The sequence below is a fragment of the Homo sapiens genome, chromosome 9 (genome assembly GCF_000001405.40).
Source record: "Homo sapiens chromosome 9, GRCh38.p14 Primary Assembly".
NCBI lineage: Eukaryota > Metazoa > Chordata > Mammalia > Primates > Hominidae > Homo > Homo sapiens.
In genome coordinates this window covers 78,012,040-78,032,400 of record NC_000009.12, presented here as the reverse complement: position 1 = coordinate 78,032,400, position 20,361 = coordinate 78,012,040, and the positions used below count along the sequence as shown (strand labels likewise).

The following is a 20,361-nucleotide window of genomic DNA, read 5'->3' as shown; positions in this document are numbered from 1 at the left end:
AGGGGCCGCGGCCGCGCTCCCGGGCCGGTGGGCTGAGGCAGGCAGAGGCCGCCATATTCCTGTCTCACCACGCCCGGCCGGACGGCAGCCGCAGGTCGGCTGCGGCCCTGGCACGCAACGGCGGCCGCCGGCTCGGGCTGCGCGTCGGCGGCCGGGTCTGGCCCCGACTTCGGCCGGGGGCGGCCGTGACTGCTGCGCCCGCGGACTCTGCCGAGGGTGCGGGAGCAGTAGGCGTCCGCAGAGCCCGCGGGGGCCGGCCCAGCCCGGGAGCCGCGCGGGCGAGGCGAGAGCCGCACTGGGAGGCGCGCCGCGGCGGCCGCGAGCCCAGGAAAGCCTTCCAGGAGGGGCCGGGCGGCACCGCCTCCCGGCTCCCTCCTCCCGCGCCCATCCCCTCCGCCTCTTCCTCCTCCTCCTTTCGCCGCCGCCTCCTCCCTCCCGGATCTGTGCTCCAGTTCAGAGAAAGAAGAAAATGTGTGTGTGTGGCGAGGGGGAGGGCTCGCACTGAGCAGCCGCTCCGCGCCTGGCAATCGGGGCAGGGGGTGGGCGTCTGGCGGGGGCGGGGGCGGAGGCGGAGGCGGAGGAGCGCGCGGTTGCCGGGCGGGACGGGAACCGGGTCTGCGCGCGAGCCGGGCGGTGGGCGCGGACAGGGCCGAGGGCGCCCGGGAGCCGTGTCAGGCGGCGGCGAGGAGCGGGCGCGCCGGGCGCGGGGAGCCGTCGGCGGCCGCTCGCTGCGGGGACACCCCGGTGAATGAGCTCTCGCCGCCAGGCGCACGGCGTAGGGGAGCCTCGCAGGCGGCGGCGGCGGCGGCGGCTCGGGGGGCGAGGCGGGCCGCCTGTTCCCGGGGAAGGAGGCGCGGGCGTCTGAGCGAGGCCGGGCGCGGCGGCCTTCTCTCACGCGCCCCCCGAGCCAGCGCCCGCCTCCCGCGCCCGCCTCTCTTCTCCCGTCGGCCCAGACTATCCGCTCCCACCGCGCCCCCGGCCCACCTGGTGGCCCCGGCCCTGGCCGCCGCCCCCGCGGCGGTTCCCGGAGCTCGTCCCGGACGCGCGCCCGGGCGGCGGGGGCTCGGCGGCCACCGCTGCCTCGGGGGAGCGAGGGCGGGAGGGTGTGTGTGCGCGCTGTGAGCAGGGGGTGCCGGCGGGGCTGCAGCGGAGGCACTTTGGAAGAATGACTCTGGAGTCCATCATGGCGTGCTGCCTGAGCGAGGAGGCCAAGGAAGCCCGGCGGATCAACGACGAGATCGAGCGGCAGCTCCGCAGGGACAAGCGGGACGCCCGCCGGGAGCTCAAGCTGCTGCTGCTCGGTGAGTACCGTCCGGGGCCCCGCCGGGCCTCTGCGCCCCCAGCCCACCATCCTTGGCCCTGCGGGGCAGCTGCCTTCGGCGCCCCCGCCCCCCGGCGCCCGCGGTTCGCCCCTACCCTCCCGGGCGCGCCCCCGGCCACTGCCTTCACCCGCGCGGGCGCGCGGGCGCGTTACACACAGACACACACACACACACACACACACACACACACAGCGACACACACACGCAGCACAGGGGTCGGGGCTGCCCTGCCCGGTGCCTTGGCTTGTTCCTTTTCGTGTCCCTGAGGGCTGTACCTTATCTGCTGTGCATCTGCTAAATGGCAGATCACTCCGACCAGAGGCGCGGGGGTGGAAAGGTGGGCAGAGGGGTTGAACTTCCAGTGTCGTGGCCGCGGCACCCCATGGGGTGGTGGCGTGGGGAGCCGTGTGTGTGGCCCAGCGGGTGGCGAGCGGAGCCGGGGCACGTTGGGGGATGGCCTGCGGTGGAGTGGCCGGTGTGCATCCATTATCAGTGCCCTATGGGGTCAGGAGGGAATGGGGGAACGGTGGGCAGACTCGCAGCTGGATTCCCGGAGCACTCATGGTGAGGAAGCCAAGTGGTTGGCCCTCCAAGGAAAGGGTCTGTGTACTGGGGGCGAGGCGGGAGGGCAAGCCCAAATGTGTCACACAAGTGCTGTTCTCTAGCCACCAGACCATCGAAAGGAGGGAGCCTAGAAGAGTTGGCCAGTGGATGGTGACAGGCGTTATTCTCGTCTGCACCATTCCTTCTAGATAAAGATGAGGGTAGGGGAGCGTTGTGCTGTGTGGTTGTTGACAGCGACCGGTATCTTTTGTTTAATGAGGCAACCTAGATGTAGGCCTCAGTTCACAATAGTTACTACCGAAAACCAGTGCAGTCTCTCAGTTACTCTCTTGGCAACAAATAGAAACCTTTTGTTTAAAACAGATAGCATTTTAATGTCTTTGGAATCTGGGCGAGAAGGAAAAACGGGAAGCATACAGGAAAAATTTCCCTCTAGTCTTGAAAAAAAAATTCTGCTTCAACACTAAGTTAGCAAGAAAATGCCATTTCTCAAATAGAAATTTATTGATGATTATCTCTGGGAGGATGTTCAGAATCAAGCGATCAGGGTTCATATACAAGCCACAGTGACAGAACCCTGAGCTACTGTGGCAGGAAGAGCAAACAGCTTTGCAGTAACGGGCCTGAAAAATGTCTGCACTTGTGTTCTGGGTATTTGCATGTATAATAAATGTGTTTCTCAAACATTTCTGTAAGAAAAGAATATTGTACTGTTAGTTGGTGTTTGTGAGAAGCATGCATTTTCTTTCTTATCTTGAGCATTCCATTTGCTGGCTCAAGGAACCAATTGCCTTTGGGAATGAACTGCTTATGTACTGGATCATTTACAAGCAGGAACAAAATATACTGATCACACACATAGTTACTAATAGTTAATTCCCATGACATGCTTTCTTTATGTCTTCATTTTGAAACTCAATTAGATAAATGTGCACATGTTTATAAAAAGCAGAAGGCAAAAGCACTGGATGAAAGAGTTGGGCTTAGGGGAATGAAGCCAGGGAGGAGGCAAACTGCAATTGGAAAGTAAAGATTTTTTTTTTTTTAATTCTCATTTTGAGCTACTTCTAGTGGCTGAAAACAGGCAGTTGAATGTTTTCTGAGTTCTCAAGGTTGAGAAGAAAATAAAGAACAAAAGAAATAAGAGTGTTTTAAGTGTATAATTAAGGGGAAACGCACGTATTTTAGAGAGACTTGTTTTAAGAATTGTGTTTTTTTTTTATTTTATTGCCCTGTTGACAGTCTTTGTTTCTGTTTAATTGTGAACTGGGCAGTTGAGGTCTCTCCAGCCAACCCTATTTGCCTGAAAAGTGACAGCTCTGAGTTTCCCAGCAGCTAAGAGTTAAAGCCCAGGGAGTTTCTCAGTGGGCCTAGGTTTGAATGTCTAAGGGAAATACACTTACATGGATGCTTAATTCCATACTGTGTATTTAAATAACACTGTGCTTTTAAAAATGAACTTGGAGATAATTTTCTGAGAAAAAGTGTAAACCAATTTTACTGCTAAAGTGGTGGTAGTGTGGAGAACTTTTTTTTCCTCTTATTAGCGGAACATCATGCAAGAATTGCTACTGCTTCATGTTCTTGGTATATTGCTTTTGCAACATGAATACTACAATACTTACACTATTTCTGTAGTAATATACGCTAAATGTGGATTTGTGCGTGCGTGTATGTGTATGAGTGTGATTTCAGGAGTTTTTGAATCCAGGACGGTTGATTTCAACAAGGAAGATATTAGGGAGGGATTTCATTTGAGGAATTCCTGATTCGCTGCTTTGATGAGTACACTGAATGTTCTGGTTCCTTCTATCATTTAAACAAACCTATCTAGAGGAGATTATAAGATGTATCCATTCACAGTTTAAAGATCTACTAATATTTTTAACTAGTTTATGGAGGAATAAGTATTTTGAAATGAAAATCAATGTAAAATTGTTTTCAAAGTAAATTTTAGTTCAAGGCTTGATACCATTTTAATGGAAGAGGATTTGTTTGACAGGGATAAAAGTGGGTACCCTTGCATTTGCTCATGTAATTATTTACTTTTGTGTATTAATAATATGGAGACATTTAAAAAGACAATTAGTGGGTACCTGACTAGATGAAAGTATGGCAGTAAAATTTGGGCTATGTTGATTTATATTCGGCAACTATGCCAGTCTTCCAAATTTATTCCGTATGCTTATATATTATATATTTTTATTTTAACTTTAGAAACGTGAACCCTGAAATCTACCACTATAAGAATATTACATTAAATTTTGAATTATTTTCTTGTTGTCTTTTAACTTATTCATTCTTTGAATTCATTTATGTTAGTGTTTGACACTCAAAACTTACTCTTTGTATTCTATGTAGATATACAAGAGCATACTTCATTTTAACTTGGTTAATGTTTTTATATATTTTGTAGGTATAAAGCACATATTTTCTTTAATTGATTAATTTTCATGAATATTCACTAAATATTTCTGTTGGTGGTACATAGATAACCTCATTTAATATAATTTGTAAGTCTGTGTAATACAAGTGGCCTTGAGTGCCTGCTTCATGTTACATATAGTTATCCTGAAATTTTTTTCAGTTCCTAGAAGAAACATTTTTTTCCTGTTAACCTGTTCTTATTTTACACGTTTTTGAAGTCTTTTACTCTTTAGATCTTAATTATCAAATAGGAAGACTTAGTAAACCCCTTTAATTGATTGAATTATCGCTATTGAAACAGGCAAAGTTTAGGCCAGTCTTTTTTTTTTTTTTTTTGAGATGGAGTTTTGCTCTTGTTGCCCAAGCTGGAGTGCAATGGCGCGACCTCACTTCACTGCAACCTCCGCCTCCCAGGTACAAGCGATTCTCCTGTCTCAGCCTCCCAGGTAGCTTGGATTACAGGCATGCACCACCACGCCCGGCTATTTTTTTTGCATTTAGTAGAGCTGGGGTTTCAACATGTTAGTCAGGCTGGTCGCGACAGGCCAGTCTTAAATGGAAGACCTTAAATGGTCTTGGTCTTCTGAAATGAATTTTATATATGAGCACAGATTTTCTTCCTGTTGTACACTGCAAACATATGAGAGTAGAGGTTGTGTCTGTTTTGCTCACTATTAAATCCCAGCTTCAAGCACAGTATCTAACTCGTAGAATGCTCTCAATAAATATTGGCTGAGTAAATGAATTTATTTATTACCCTCCTGCTGGAAATTAGACCAGACAATAATGAATAAATGTATAGAAACATAGGAATATATAATGTTTTTATCTGTGGCAGATAAAATCAGGATCTTAAAAAAATTGTGTGTAACTCTTTGAGCCAACTGATTATAAATGCATTCCAGGATAGGAAGTGTTAATGTAAGATGTTGCATCACACATTGAACCAGTGTATTACAGTTCTGTACTGGATGTATTTGAGAATGGTAACAGTCATGCTTAAAGTATGAAAGTTTAAAGAAAAGAAAAACCATTCTATATTTTTATTACTTTTTATTGTGTAGAGGCTAGTTTAACCCTCTCATCTTTTTACCATACATTTTTCTCCATGGTACAGGGCTCAGTGAATTTTTAATACTCTGTAGAGCACAGGTGATGACTAAATGGGTGTTTGTGATTGACTTATACAATAACGTGAGGAAAACCACCATAATTAAATACAGAATTTCAGGAATTGCAGTTAGAACATTTTTAATATGAAGGATATGCATTTGTACTGAAAGCTATACAGTTTTAGACCAAGAAGGGGCTTGGAAGGCTGGAAGTGCTGTAGCCAATTTAAGCTGTATGGGAAGTTAATTTCTACACATCTGGAAAAGAGCACGCTTCCCACTGCTCCTCAGTAGGGTTCACTGGAGTGGGTATGTTGATTGCCTGAATTAACCTAGAGGTCAGTGCCATCTAGGATGGTGACTCAGAACCATTGAGTGAAAGCCTTGGTCTAAGTAACCTCAATAACAGCAGCTCCCTAAAAATAGCAAAATATGGTGTTTATGAGACTGCTTTAAGGACCAACAGGTTTTATTTTTTGCTACTCTTTTAGCTTCCAAGTGTTGAATATGTTTCTGAATGTCAGGATTTATTTGGATACAGTTCCCTTTTTTGTTGTTGTTGAAACAAAGTACTTATAGTTTATATCAGAAGAACAAAGTGGGAACATCCCTCATAAAAATCAAAACTGTGGCTCTGACTGTATAACAAAGCCTTCGGAATAAGTTTTTTGCATTGAACTACGTAGATTCATCGTCTGGATCTCCATATAATGTCCCATCCTTACCCCTATATGCTATTTCTTCATATGGCAAATCTGACACAAATTAAAACCCTGCTGAACAGTGAAAATATTGCAGGTTTATCTATTCACATATTCTAAAGTAAGTTTAGAAAGGAGAACCAGAAGACTAATTTAGTAGCCATTTTAATATAAATAAATTTGATAGAATCTTTTTCATTAAAAAAGAAAACCATCTCAGCTCTACTTTAGGAGAAATGGCTTATGTTCAGTTTTCAGAAGTGCCTATTAAAAACAGTTACGATTTTTATTACCCATGAATTTTTTAGGACCTGAAACAGCCTTTGCAGTTGTGAGGCTGCGTGCTATGCTAAACTTAGCAGAAAAAAGGAACAGATTTTTCTTTATGATCCAGGCACACTTACACTTGAAAAGAAATTAACAAGATTCTCTAAGGAAGGTTTTGATTCCAGCATTCATATTAATTTTTCTTTAAGGGGAGTTATTCTACTAATATTCTGTTAATATTAGTAGAAATGTTGATTGGATGTTGTAGAGGGAAAATAGGGAGCTCAAAGGGTACATCTTGGAAGAGACAGAAGCCATTTTATAAGGAGGTTAGGATTGCTTTCTCCCTCAGAAGGTGGAGGGAATCTGTTTCCTCTGTATTGGGTTGAGGAAAATACAAGTTTGTGAAGCAACAAATTTTAAAGTCAAATTTCCTGGTTGGAACGGGAGGCAGTCACATTTTTCAAAGGAAAACTTTTGTAATGCCTTTTAAGTTATGTTAAGATCTCTGCAGACTTAATCCTAGTGAAGTGTGAAATAGCAATAGAAGGTAAAATGTGCGATTGTTGGTAATTAAATCTGTGGCAATAACTGACTACAGTAAACCGTGAACGTTTACTCTTGTTCTGCCGAATGGAGTAACATTAAAGAAAGAGCTGCTCTCAGACCCAAACACTATTTTGTGTGAATAGCTGTTACTGATAAAATTATAGGAAGTTGTTCAACAATCACCTTTGATTTGTTACATTACCGATATGTAAAAAATAAAATTATAGGAAGTTGTTCAACAATCACCTTTGATTTGTTACATTACCGATATGTAAAAATCTGTCTGATTTCTCATCTAACATGTAGTAAAAGGACCTAGGCATACTGATGAAATGAGTTAACACATCCTAGGTGGTCATGAATTTGGGCTTTAAAAACAAAAATAAATGTCCATGTTGCAGTGCCGAGAATCCCAAATTGGATTAACTATACAGCTCTGTTGTTAACCTTTATACATAGCCATAATCAGTGCAGAATATTTTGTTAAAAGCCTTTATGGTTAATTTTAAAGAACAAAATTAGTATTACTTAAAAATCAAATTATGAAGATATCTCAAATCCATTTTTTCAACATATACTTGTCAGTTATTAAAAAATATTTCCTCTAATTTTTTTTTTTAACCAGGCATAACTTAAGAAGGAACAGTTTCATGCAGAATGCTAGTCAAATGAACAAATATGAGCACCTACTATGTGCCAAATAATGTGCTGTGTGAGATGCTCCTTATGTCTTATTTGCCGACAGGAAAGACTAAGCACTTTGCATAGTTCTTGTATTGTAGCTGATGTCCTCGTACTGACATGCCCTTCTGACTTTATCCTTCCTGGCTTTGGCTTTTCTATTGGGTTTTCATACACAGAAAGAGACAAAATAATCTGAAGGCCATTGTAGGAGCTTCCTGGGGATCACAGGACTGGGGAATGCGGATGATTTTACCTTGTGTTTCTAAGTGGATTGGAAGCTCCGTGAAGGCAAAGATCCTTGCTCTTGTATCTTTATCGCAATTCCTGATGATTCTATTATCAGTAACTAGGGATGTGTGTGGAAAGCTGGATTCCAAAAAGAATGGAGGGTAATCGGAAGAAGTGAATTTAAATTCCCTGCTTTCTTCTAATAGGCATCATCCATATGTCCTCCATTTTCCACTCCTCTTTGCTGTTTTGTGGGCCACCGGGCGCACAGTGAAAGGAATTCCGTTTTAAAGATGGAACAGTTTTTGCCTTCTTGCCTTCCTCTCATTTGTTCTCTTGGGACAATGTTTCGGTTGAACATTCTCATATTGTTTCCAGTTAAAAGCCAATAGCAATTGATCCAGCTGTTCCAATGGAAAGCTGTTACACACACAAGTTCTTTGAAATCTGACAATCTGTGCACCTTTATTACAGGATTAATCATGGATTGTGAACAATATGTCTGCTTTAGAAATAAAATAGTTGTTTTCAAGTAATGGATTGTGGTGCAGTTGGGAACGAAAATGTTACTAATGCCATTATAGTGTGTGTGTGTGTATATACACACATATACAATATGTGTGTGTTTATACACACATAATTGACCCACAAATTAAAGAAAAAGAGATCTAGCCAGACTTTTTGGCTCTGTTACCGGAAGCGAACAGTGATGTTTAGACACATAGTTACATATATTTCTAGGAGATAGCCTCATTTTTTTTCCCTTTGGAAAACTAAAATCATGAATTAATTGTGCTTTCCAAGAATTTTTTTTTTAATCAGCATCACTTGCTAAAAAATAGAAATAGAATTTTTTTGTTTCTTTTTTATGTTGAAAAATTTTTTTCATTTTTATTGTTTCTTTCCTACATTTTCTTTTACTGTAGGGGCAACAGGGTGATTGGTGAGATCTTCTACCACCATGTATTTACTGGTAACTGCAGGCATCTAGTTGCTTCTAAAGAGGAATGCTTCTGTGATTTACCCAGTCCCTTTTCAGTCTACCAGTGATTTCTGTAGCCCCCCTACCCATCCCTTTCATGTGAATACCACCCACCCATTTAATTCCTCATCACATCTTTCTTAAACAGATGCTAAAGAGGTTCCTCAGATTCTCTGACTTGCACATTTGCATACGATTTAGAGAACTTCCAAGTTGGTGCTTCTGTGAGACATCATGTGGCTGTGAGCTGGTGAGAGGGGAAGTTGGGTGCTTTAATACATTCAAAGGAAGGAATTTGTGAGTGTGTGTTTAGGCAATGATTAACTTTCTTTTGCAATACTTACTCTGGTCCGTAAAGCAAAAATAAATTGTTACTGAACACAATGTAAAATCCTCCTTCCTTTTCCAGAGGGCAGGGACTTGAGATTGGTTCATGATTACCAGCAGAGAGTTAGTGAGCCAGTGCTGGATAATCTATCACGGACCAGTGGGTTTCAGAATCGGATGCAGTGCGTATGCTGGAAGGGGAGAAGGTGCTGTAGGCATGTGTAGGCATCTTCCTCACTTAATGATTTGAAAACCCTCTTCTCAGTGACTTGCAAGCCTTAACATCTTTTTCTGATTGTATTTCCATACAGATAGTTAAGGGTGATGGCAATAGCAGTGGCCTTTACTTTTGTTATACCCAATCAGCCTGAGTACATTTTTGTGGTGGGTTTGTTTTGGTATTTTCTTGCCATGTGAATTGATATTTAGGACCTGCGCTTTGCAGAGCTCCTTCATTATAGTATGCGTTCTTTCTGCAGATGGCAAATGCAATTTTCCTCTTGTCCTAGAGAGATGACCCATTTCCTGTGACTTGTTCTAATAATACAAGATGACTTTAATTTTTGTTCAGTTTGCCTTTAAAAGATTGCCAGGTTTAACTCTCTTGTCTCTGTAACTCTTGTGATATATTTTTGAGCATTGGTAAGACATGTAATAATTTAAAAACAATGGCAGACTAATTTTGTGAAAGTTTTTTATTTTTTATTTTTGGCTAAATAAGCACCTTTTATGGCTGTGCATTTTGGATTCGTTACATATATCTTTTCTAAAATCTGTGACTGAAAGTGGGGTGAAGTATTCCTGCCCTGCTTACTGAATCTTTTTTTCCCACATAACTAACCTCAGGGTATTTTGATCATTTGCTTTTTCTATAAAAACCTGTAGAATGAGGAGATTGCAGCAGATGATCTCTAAGGACCATTTGAACTTTGAATTTTTTTCTCCTTCCCCTTTGCAGCTTTGGCGTCTCGGCCACTTTCTGCCCAAACTCACCCCTGGATGAAGGGTCTAAGCTTGCTGCTGTCTCCAGCAGTGATGGGCTCTACTAGGAGGCATTGCCAGGTCTGGTGGGCTCCTTCGGGTTGGCCTGGCTCTTCTCTTTGACCTCTGTAATAACTCTGAGTGCCCTGCAGTGGGGAGCACTTTGAGGGGGGCCTGTGAATGAAGCCTTAGCAAGTCTGTCCAGAGCTCCCCTGGTGCCGCCTGGCATGCTGCTGATAGTTTGCAATGTCTTCACAAGAAATGGTATCAGAAACCTCCTGTCATATCAGCATGGGTCTCTTGCTTCCTGCAGGAAGGGCGATATCCTGGGAGGCACAGAGGTGGAGCCCGAGAGACGCAGTGTTCCAGCGCTGCTCGGCTCAGGACTGGGTCTTTTCTTCCGTATCCTCAAGCAGCTTCCTTTGACTTACTACTTCTTTTTGTTTGTTTTTTCTTCATTGGGCTTTAAGCGTTGCTTCTCTTTAGTGTATGTGTGACTGAAGCCAAACACAACATTGCTTTCCCTTTGCCTGCAAATAATCTTGTTGCCCAAGCCCATCTCTGCCATTTTCAGTGACAGCTGGCTGGCCAATGAGCCTGAGCACTGGGAATGCCCAGCAGGGCACATCTAGGGGGCTGCTTTATATTTGGAGCTAGCAGGTCTCTTTTCTAGGGCTTTCCAGGAAAGATTTAGAATTAAACATTGGATGGATTTTGTGTGTTCATTTCTTTTTCCATCACTGTGCCTTTATTTTCTTGGGGCTTTCATTAAAAGCAGAAAAACAGATAATGGTAGAAACATCTATAGCATGCATACAAAGAAGTAAAAGATTTTTATAATTTTTTGCCTTAAAATATATCTAATGCTGTGGCCTCTGAGCCATTCTCAGTTGGTATGACCATGATCAGAGAAACCTTAAGAAATCAGCTTTGCCAGGTGTGGTGGTTCACGCGTGTAATCCCAGCACTTTGGGAAGCCAAGGCAGGCAGATTGCTTGAGCCCAAGAGTTCGAGACCAGCCTGGGCAACATGGTGAGACCTGGTCTCTACCAAAAATACAAAAATTAGCTGGGCGTGGGTGCCCATGCCTGTGGTCCCAGTTACTTAGGAGCCTGGGTGGTCAGGGCTGCAGTGAGTTGTGATCGTGCCACTGCACTCCAGCTTAGGTAACAGAGTGAGACCTTGTCTCAAAAAAAAAAAAAAAAAAAAAAGCAGCTTCCTGTGTTCCTCGTTTGCATTCTGGACAAAGACTCTGTGGCCAAAGAAAGAGCAGCTGGACTCTCATGCTAGTTCTGGAGAAATGTAAGAAAAGCTTAATTCCACTGGAGGTGCCAGGCAGGCAGTTGGCATTCCTAGGCCCACTTTACTCCTGGCCCAGGGCCTTCTCCTCATCAACTTATCAGCGTTGGGCTTCCTTACCTTGACCTCACATTTGCAGTTGAATGAGTGCCAGGGAAAAGAACAGACATAGGGTAAAGTAGAGTAATAGGGAGTCCCGTGGGGCTTGGAAGGGCAGAGGGTGTTGTTGCCAATAGGGGTAGCGCCATTGTGTCTTTGCTGGGCTCTGGAGAGAAGGAGAGAAGAGCAAAGGAGAGGTGCCTGATGCCTTGGATTGATGTTCTCAATCAGGAAGAGCCAGACCAATGCTGCCTCTTCTGGCCGCCTCCACCATCCTACCACGTGTTTTCATCCTCATTGTCACATCCACTGTGCCCTTCCTCACCCAGATGGTGGGTTGGGAGATGAGCAAGTAAGTGTAGACGCCTTGGTGGAATGGGAGTAGTTTGTGTTGCATGTACTCATTCCTGTCCTTTTGTTCCCAGAGGTGGTTAAATAGGTGAGCATAGAACTCTCATGAAGCTGTGTCCCGAGAAAAACCCTTGACAGAGTATAAAGAAAATTTGCAACATGTTTCCTCCATGTTTTTTTTTCTGTCAGCTGTTTCAGGTGATAGAAATGCATCTATTACTGTTTTGAGAACTCTGCTAATCCTGTGATGTGTTATGAGATGTCTCTTGAGACATCCTTGCTCAGGAAATCTGCTTTTGCTTGGCTTGCATCTCCTATAGTAAAATGGCTCTCAGTTTCCCACGGCAATAAATAAATAAGCAATAGCATGAGATATTCTTGCCAGGTAGATTCATGCAAAGTGGAGGCATGTAATGTAGAAATAACACCTTTTAGCTGAGAAAAGGCACCTATCAATTGGATGTATTCTCTTGTGTCTTTTTCATGTTCTGGGCCATTACATCCAAGCCTAAGAGCAGACTTTTTCCCTAGGATTTTTAAAGGTTCCTAAAGTCTCTTTTCTTTCTTTTTTTTTTTTTTTTTTTGAGATGGAGTCTCACTCTGTCACCCAGGCTGGAGTGCAGTGGCGCAATCTCAGCTCACTGCACCCTCTGCCTCCCAGGTTCAAGTGATTCTCCTTCCTCAGCCTCCCAAGTAGCTGGGATTACAGGCGCCTGCCACCATGCCTGGCTAATTTTTTGTGTTTTCAGTAGAGACGGGGTTTCACCATGTTGGTCAGGCTCCTCTCAAACTCCTGACCTCAGGTGATCCACCCATCTTGGCCTCCCAAAGTGTTGGGATTATAGGCTTGAGCCACCGCACCTGGCCTAAAGGTTCCTAAAGTCTCTAATTATGACCGACATTCAAAATGAAGCTGCATATGTTTTGGTTAATTTGAATAATTTTTAATAATTTGAGAGAAAAACTCAGTAGTGCAGAAACAAAAGGTACTTGAAATGAACCTTTATATTTTTATTTATCAATTACATTCTAATGGTCCAAGAATTAATGAATTGGCAAGCACTATCTCCTATTGGAGTCAAGTTTGGCTCTGACATGGAGTCTGGAGGTGGAAGGTTCTTGCTGTCTTTCAGAGCTAACGAATGGGTGTCCTCTGAACATTCTACCTTCTCCTGTTTTGCCATGGGTTACCATCTAAGATGTTATCCAGATCACGTTAGAAACGATTACAAATTTTGGGCACATACCACTTCTTGTAGTAATGAGTCCCATGCATTTTCTCATCTTATATGGGAGAAAATACCTGTATATTGCTTTATCATTTTCAGAGAAACAGTTTGTGTTTCCTTATCCAATACATCTTGGTAAAGAGTGGCATTTTAATGGAGGAAATTACAGGACTTCATCAATATTTCTTTAGGGAAATCCTGATTCAAAGTATATTTTCATGAAAATCACTAGCTCTGTCCTTTGAGAAACGTATTTTTTGTAGGGCTTTCTACTCTAGGCCATGCTTGTTATGAGAACAGATTCTTCTGCAGCGGGTGGGAGGATGTTTCTAAACCCCTGGAGTCTACCTATGAATTGCTACTCAAATTACAGTGTATCCATCTCAGAATTAATGTGTTGTGCATGCCTAGTCCTTACTTGTGGGTTGACACAATGATTTCTATTAAAAATATTCTTTATGTTTTATACTATAATGTATCCTTAAGCAGTATGCTGTGGCCTGAATTTACCTTGTCTTTTATTCTCTTTTTGGAATGAAATAAGAGCACTTGAGATACTGTCATTTGGTGGTTTGGTTGTTTGTAAAATAGTAAAAAAAAAAGTTTGGTAAGGAGAAAAGCTATTGTGCTTAATAGACAGTCCAAGTTTGAGTCGAGAAGAAATGTTTATTTTCTTCCACTTAATGTTCTGACATTCTTAAGAAATACATTATGTTGTTTTCATGCTAGTCTTTGAAAGAATGACAACCCACATTCTGTTATTTAATTACATTATTTTTTATAGCCTGTTTTTCAGTGATTTTGAAATTTTACAAATAATGCAAGTTTTTTGCACAAAATTTAATAAAACTTTTTAAAATATTCATAAATTTATCAAAAATATACCAGTCTAAACTAAGAACCATGCTCTTTTTGCACATTCCTTTATAGTCTGTTTTATTTTTATGTTTTTTACATAGATGTGATCATACTGTACAACTTAACATTAGGTTGTAAGCATTTTTTATGTGGCTATGTAGACTTCATATTAACATTTGAAAAGACTGTATAAGATTCTTTTGAGAGGATGTATATTGTTTACTTGTTTACTCTTTTTTTTTTGTACATTTAGGTTTCTCCCAATGATTTCATTTTAAAAATAATGCTGTGATGAAGTTCTTGGTGGAGATAGCTTTTTAAAACATGCACACACATAATTTTGTTAGAATAGATTCATGGAAATGTTATTTCTAGGTCTGAGGATATGAAAAATTTTACAACCTTGGTTATACACACCCAAAACATATTCTGAAACGATTGTATACAGTTTCCAGCATCATGAACAATATTATTAGAATATCAGTAAGTTAGGAGGCAAAAATGGTACATAATTCTAAACTTTGCATTGATCATTAGTGAGAATGATCATTTCCCCATGTTTGTTTCTAGTTGAATTGCTTCTTTTGTGAATTGTTTCTTCATTTCCTTTGCCTATTTTTGAACTCCAAACCTACAAATGAAATTAGCCTTTTGTCATTTTTATTGCCAAAAACTTAACCCCAGTCTGTTGTTTTCCTTTTGTTTTGTATTATTTGATACAGAAGTTTTTAATTACTATCAAGCCAAAACTGTTGATCTTTTGCTATTCTGTTTTAAAATAAAAATCATGATCTGCTTTAGATATTCCATGAAAGCTAGATTTACTGCCATTGTTATGGACAAAACTAGATTGAATGTAGTGTGTTATACATCTCTGATGTATGGTTCTTTTTCTTTCAAAATGAAGGTGAAATGTACATACAAGTTTCAGTGTCACAGATGACACAGCATAAGCTGTTCTATGTGTAATTGGATTTTTTTCATTCAGTAATATGTAGGATGTCTTGCCATGTTAATATAAATCTTTTGGAACATATTTATGGCTGTTTAGTGTTTCCTCCGTGCATTTTGAATCATACAGTGCTGTGATGCAGCTAGTTTGTACCTGCTCACGAAAGCCAGTTTTGATCATTTTTTTGTCTCAACTTTACATTTAGTGACCGAACTTTGGTAGCTTGAAATCAGACATGTTGCTAGGGTTTACACCACAGAAATTGGCAGATACAGATTAGGTCTTACTCCCATCTCTGGAAGAACTAATTGTTAAATATCAGCACAGTACCATTTATACCTGATACCTTTTAATGAATATTTACTTTGATTCTATTAAGAAAATGTTATAATCAGTGCTACAGTGAACATTGTTGGGTATTTTTGCACGCTGTATGATTCTTTTCATGCACATTTTTTAGAGTTTGATTATCAGCCGTTTTGGTCCATAACATAACATAACATAACATAACGTAACGTAACACAACACATAACAGTTTTAGCTGTCCTTGGATTATGTCTATTTAATGGGTTAAAAAAAAGACATGTCTTTGTTGTGTTTATTTGCATTTTATTGAATCAGTATTCATTTTACAGTTTTTATTTTCTAAACTGCTTACAAAATATACTAACAAAATTACAAAACATGCCTACAAAAATAATTAACAGATGCCTGAACTTATCATTTGAATTAGATTTTCTATCACTTTTAGCTTTCACTTTATTTCTGTATTTCTTTTTTTTTTTTTGAGACAGAGTCTTGCTCTGTCGCCCAGGCCGGAGTGCAGTGGCGTGATCTTGGCTCACTGCAACCTCCGCCTCCCGGGTTCAATCAGTTCTCCTGCCTCAGCCCTCCCGAGTAGCTGGGACTACAGTAGCTGGGACGCCTGGCTAATTTTTTGTATTTTTAGTAGAGACAGGGCTTCACTGTGTTAGCCAGGATGGTCTCGATCTCCTGGCCTCGTGATCCGCCCACCTTGGCCTCCCAAAGTGCTGGGATTACAGGTGTGGGCCACTGTGCCTGGCCTAATTTATATATTTCTAAAACTTTGATGGTTTTCTTTATGGAAAGATGGAGTGCCCTAGGACAAATGTCTCCAAGGGGGAAAAGAACAGAACTGATAAGATTAAATGATAGGTTTGGCTATATGCAGAATTGTTCTGAAGCGCAACAGTTTTAAATGGTGATGAAGTCCAGTTTATCTATAAGAATTGCTTCTGCTTTTTGGTCTCATATGGAAGAAACCATTGGAAAAATCCAAGGTCACAAAAATTTACGTCTCTTTTCTACTAAGAGTTTTGTAGTTTTAGGTCTTACACTTTGAGTTGATTTTTGTATGTGGTGTGATGTGGGGTTTCAACATAATCCTTTGCGTGTGAATATCCAGTTGTCCCAGCACCATTTGTTGAAAAAAACGTATTCTTTTCTCATTGAGTTGTCTTGACATTCTTGTTAATTTTTCTTATCTTTATTACTTTTTTCTTGGAATTTTTCTAAGTTTATTTTTTACTTTTTCTTGAATCAGAATTCTTAGATTATTTTAAAAAATATTTTCTCAATTTGAATTAGTAGTGTTTAAGGCTTTGCATTTTATTACATGTCCCTATGTAGCATTCTTATCCTTTTACAGATATTCTAAAATTACAATTTTTATTTTTGTTTTTGAACCAAGATTGTTTAATATAGTTTAAATTTTTCAAGTGGTTGTAGTTTTTTTTCAACCTTAGTTATTTATTCTGAGGTCATTTTGATAGAATGTGGTCTGTACTGTTTCTACTTTTTGGAATTTATTGTAGTCTAATATATATAGTCAATTTTTGTTTTATGGGTACATAAAATGCATATGTGTGTTTGTCTTAAAACCATAAATATATGTGTATTATTTAATTTTATGACTGATATTTGCTGCTAATCTGCTTCCTTATATTGTGTGTGAATCTGCCAAGTACTGAGAATTTTGCAGAAGTCTTCCATGACTCTGGTGTTTGTGGCAATTTCTCCTATTCCAGAAATTTTGCTCTATGTAAGTACAGTTATGTGTTGCTTAACAATGGGGATACCTTCTGAGAAATTTGTGGCCAGATGATGTTGTTATTGTGTGAGCCTTGTAGAGTGTACTTACACAAATCTAGATTGTATAGCCTACAACACACATATAGGCTATGTGGTAAAGCCTATTGTTCCCAGGCTGCAAACCTGTAAAGCATGTTATTGTACTGAACGCTGCGGGCTTTTGTAGCACAGTGGTAAGTATTTGTGTATCCAAACATATCTTAACATAGAAAAGGTTCAGTAATAAAAGATAAAATATGATACACATAGAGCGCACTTACCATAAATGGAGCTTGCAGGCTGGAAATTGCTCTGGGTGTCAGTGAGTGGTGAGTGAATGTGAGGGTCTAGGACATGACTGTACACTTTTGTACAACTGGCAGCTTGGTAGGTTTGTTACACAAGTATTACCACAAACATGTGACTAATGTGTTGCATTATGATAACTACGATGTCAGTAGGCGATAGGAATTTTTCAGCTCCATTATAATCTTGTGGGACCACAGTTATTTACGTGGTCTGTTGTTGACTGAAACATTGTTAATGTGGTGTAGGACTGTACTCTTTTATGAGGTACCTAAAAAACGTCGATGAGAATTAAAATTTTGTCATTACCGCATTACCTTTTATGTAAGTTAATGCTATTATATCTTGAACTCAGCATCGTTATTAATATTGTTCTGTTGTTTACATTTACTTGATGTATGTCTCTCATTTATTTTCAACTATTCTTTGTTTTAGCTACCCTCACAAGTTTGTTTTGTTTTGTTTTGAGACGGAGTTTGGCTCTGTCACCCAGGCTGGAGTGCAGTGGCGCTATCTCGGCTCACAGCAACCTCTGCTTCCCGGGTTCAAGCAATTCTCCTGCCTCAGCCTCCTAAGTAGCTGGGATTATAGGCATGCACCACCACACCCAGCTAATTTTTGTATTTTTAGTAGGGGGGTTTCACCATGTTGGTCGGGCTGGTCTCGTGATCTGCCCGTCTAGGCCTGCCAAAATGTTGGGATTACAGGAGTGAGCCACCACGCCTGGCCTAAAGTTTTTGTTTTTTTAAACCTCAGCCTGAGTGAATCTTTTCTTAAAATAGTTGAGTTTGTTCTTGTTACACTTGATGTATGATGAATAATGTTAGGGTGTATTGGCGTCTGATTTCTGTTTTCTGATTCTTTCTTGATTTCTTGCAGCTACCCCTATTCCTCCTCCATTATTTCCTTTTCTCTTTCTCACTCCTTTGGAATTTGTATTGGGTTTGTTGTGCTTTCCACACTGATAATTTGAAAGGTATGTACTCTGCTTTTAATTTTACTGTTGGTAGCCTATATAACTTTTAGTAGTCATATTCAATTTATGTTTCTCAGTTTATCATCTTCAGAGATCAAATGGTATTATATGTCCCTCCCCTGCATGGGAGGGAAATTTTTTTCACCTATACCAAGGATCATCAGCAAACTTTAAGGGTTAGATAGTAAACATTTTTGGCTTTTGGGCTATATGGCTTCTATTAGAACTACTCAACTCTGCCACAAACAGTTTGTTAATAAATGAGTATGGCTATGTTCAAATACAATTTTATTTACAAAAACAAACAGAAGCAGGATTTGGCATTCTGGCAGGTATTTGCCAACCTCTGATTACTCCATTTTCTGCTTTTTGTGGTATTTTATTTGCGTGTATTAACTTTTTTGTTCCTGTCTGTTATAGACAAATTAGCAATACCAGACTTAGAATGGTTCTCTAAGTCTTCGTGGTTAGTAATAACATCAACACATTTTATTTTATATATTTATTTTCTTAATAGTCTTCTCAGAGGCAACATTGGATATATAAAATGATAAAAGTCTTGTTAGAAATGAGAACACATGGACGCAGGAAGGGGAACATCACAAACCGGGGCCTGTTGTGGGGTGGGGGGAGCGGGGAGGGATAGCATTAGGAGATATACCTAATGTTAAATAACGAGTTAATGGGTGCAGCACACCAACACGGTACATGTATACATATGGAACTAACCTGCATGTTGTGCACATGTACCCTAAAACTTAAAGTATAATAAAAAAAAAAAAAGTCTTGTAAGAAAAACATAAAATTGTCAATGGCTAAGGGCATCTTTCTGAAGTCTAGGATTTATTGATGGTTATTAAAAGGCTAAGCATAAAATTGAAATTACCTTAATTTCAATATAATATGGGTATTTGTGTCAGATGGAAGGAGAGGTGTTTATGGTGTTCAGATCACTGCCACGTTCATTGCTCTAACTTACATTTCCTTTATTCTGTTCTTCCTCCTGATTACGGATTCCTAGCAATTCACCTATTTCTGCCCTCTTAATCCTGAAGTAGTTTACTCTTCTTTCCACTTACGCCCCCTTTCTTCACTGTCTTTTGTCCATCTCTGCTAGCATCAAGTTAATATTTGATCTTGCAGCCAATGTGATCTTTAATGTTTTGAAAGTGATTCTGTAGTAGTTTCTCAAATTTCATACCTAGAGTTTATTTATTTTCACACTTTCTAAAACTCTTAGCCCTTTGATTTCATATTGAATATCAGGGATGATCACAGGGAATCATTATAATTAAACCTAAGGAACCTCATTTAAGTATATTGTCATTTATCACTTATTCTGTTTTCCTTGAGAAATTGTGTACATATATGTATATATATATTTGTGTCTGCAATTAAGATGCATATTTAGCATTAGTTCTGTGTTTAAATGCTTATCACCAAATATTTCTTCTCTCAATTTAATTATATGCTTTTATTTATTTTTATCTATGAGTTGGCTAGATTATACCTTCAGATAGGTTTTTAAATGATGGGTCCATGGGTGATATATTTCCTGAATTCTTGGGTATTTGAAAATGCCTTTCCGAGGCCAGGTGAGGTGGTTTACACCTGTAATCCCAGCACTTTGGGAGGCCAAGGCGGGTGGATTACAAGGTCAGGAGTTCGAGACCAACCTGGCCAACATGGTGAAACTCTATCTGTATGGCGCGCACCTGTAATCCCAGCTACTTGCAAGGCTAAGGCAGGAGAGTCACTTGAACCTGGGAGGTGGAGGTTGCAGTGAGCTGAGATTGTGCCATTGCACTCCAGCCTGGGTGACAAGGTGAGACTCCGTCTCAAAAAAAAAAAAAAAAAGAAAATGCCTTTCTGTGGCATGCACATATTAATAACAACTTGCATGGGTATAGAATTCTTGGATTAGACCTCTTTTTTACCTACCTTGCTTGCCACGTAGTAGATTTTTCTCCATTGTTTCCCAGCAGATAGATTTGATAAGTCTGTGGCCAGCCTGAATATTTTTTCTTTGTGATTTGCTTTTTTAAAAATTTGGTTA

The 20,361-nt window shown here is 40.7% G+C and overlaps 1 protein-coding gene across 2 annotated transcripts in view, besides 2 other annotated features; it reads left to right on the top strand.

The window, feature by feature from the left end:
* Positions 507-1,401: an enhancer, noted in NCBI's record as "H3K27ac hESC enhancer chr9:80645916-80646810 (GRCh37/hg19 assembly coordinates)". NCBI's record gives its function as "activates a minimal SCP1, AML or CMV promoter by ChIP-STARR-seq in naive H9 embryonic stem cells {active_cell/tissue: H9 hESC(naive)}" and the evidence as "EXISTENCE:reporter gene assay evidence [ECO:0000049][PMID:30033119]".
* The window catches only part of GNAQ (G protein subunit alpha q), a 315,715-nt gene continuing 295,943 nt past the window's right edge, over positions 590-20,361 (top strand). Inside the window, exon 1 of one of the 2 annotated variants that reach the window (NM_002072.5) lies at positions 590-1,301. In NM_002072.5, the coding sequence (NP_002063.2) occupies positions 1,166-1,301 (136 nt within the window). In that variant the 5' untranslated portion in view covers positions 590-1,165. Of the gene's footprint in view, positions 1,302-1,479; positions 1,660-20,361 lie in introns of those variants that run through there. The other variant, XM_047423239.1, reaches the window with a different exon arrangement.
* Positions 19,918-20,070: a silencer, noted in NCBI's record as "fragment chr9:80627247-80627399 (GRCh37/hg19 assembly coordinates)". NCBI's record gives its function as "represses an EF-1alpha promoter that drives an FKBP-Casp9 reporter gene in an ReSE screen in phorbol 12-myristate 13-acetate-treated (for megakaryocytic differentiation) K562 erythroleukemia cells {active_cell/tissue: K562(+PMA)}" and the evidence as "EXISTENCE:reporter gene assay evidence [ECO:0000049][PMID:32094911]".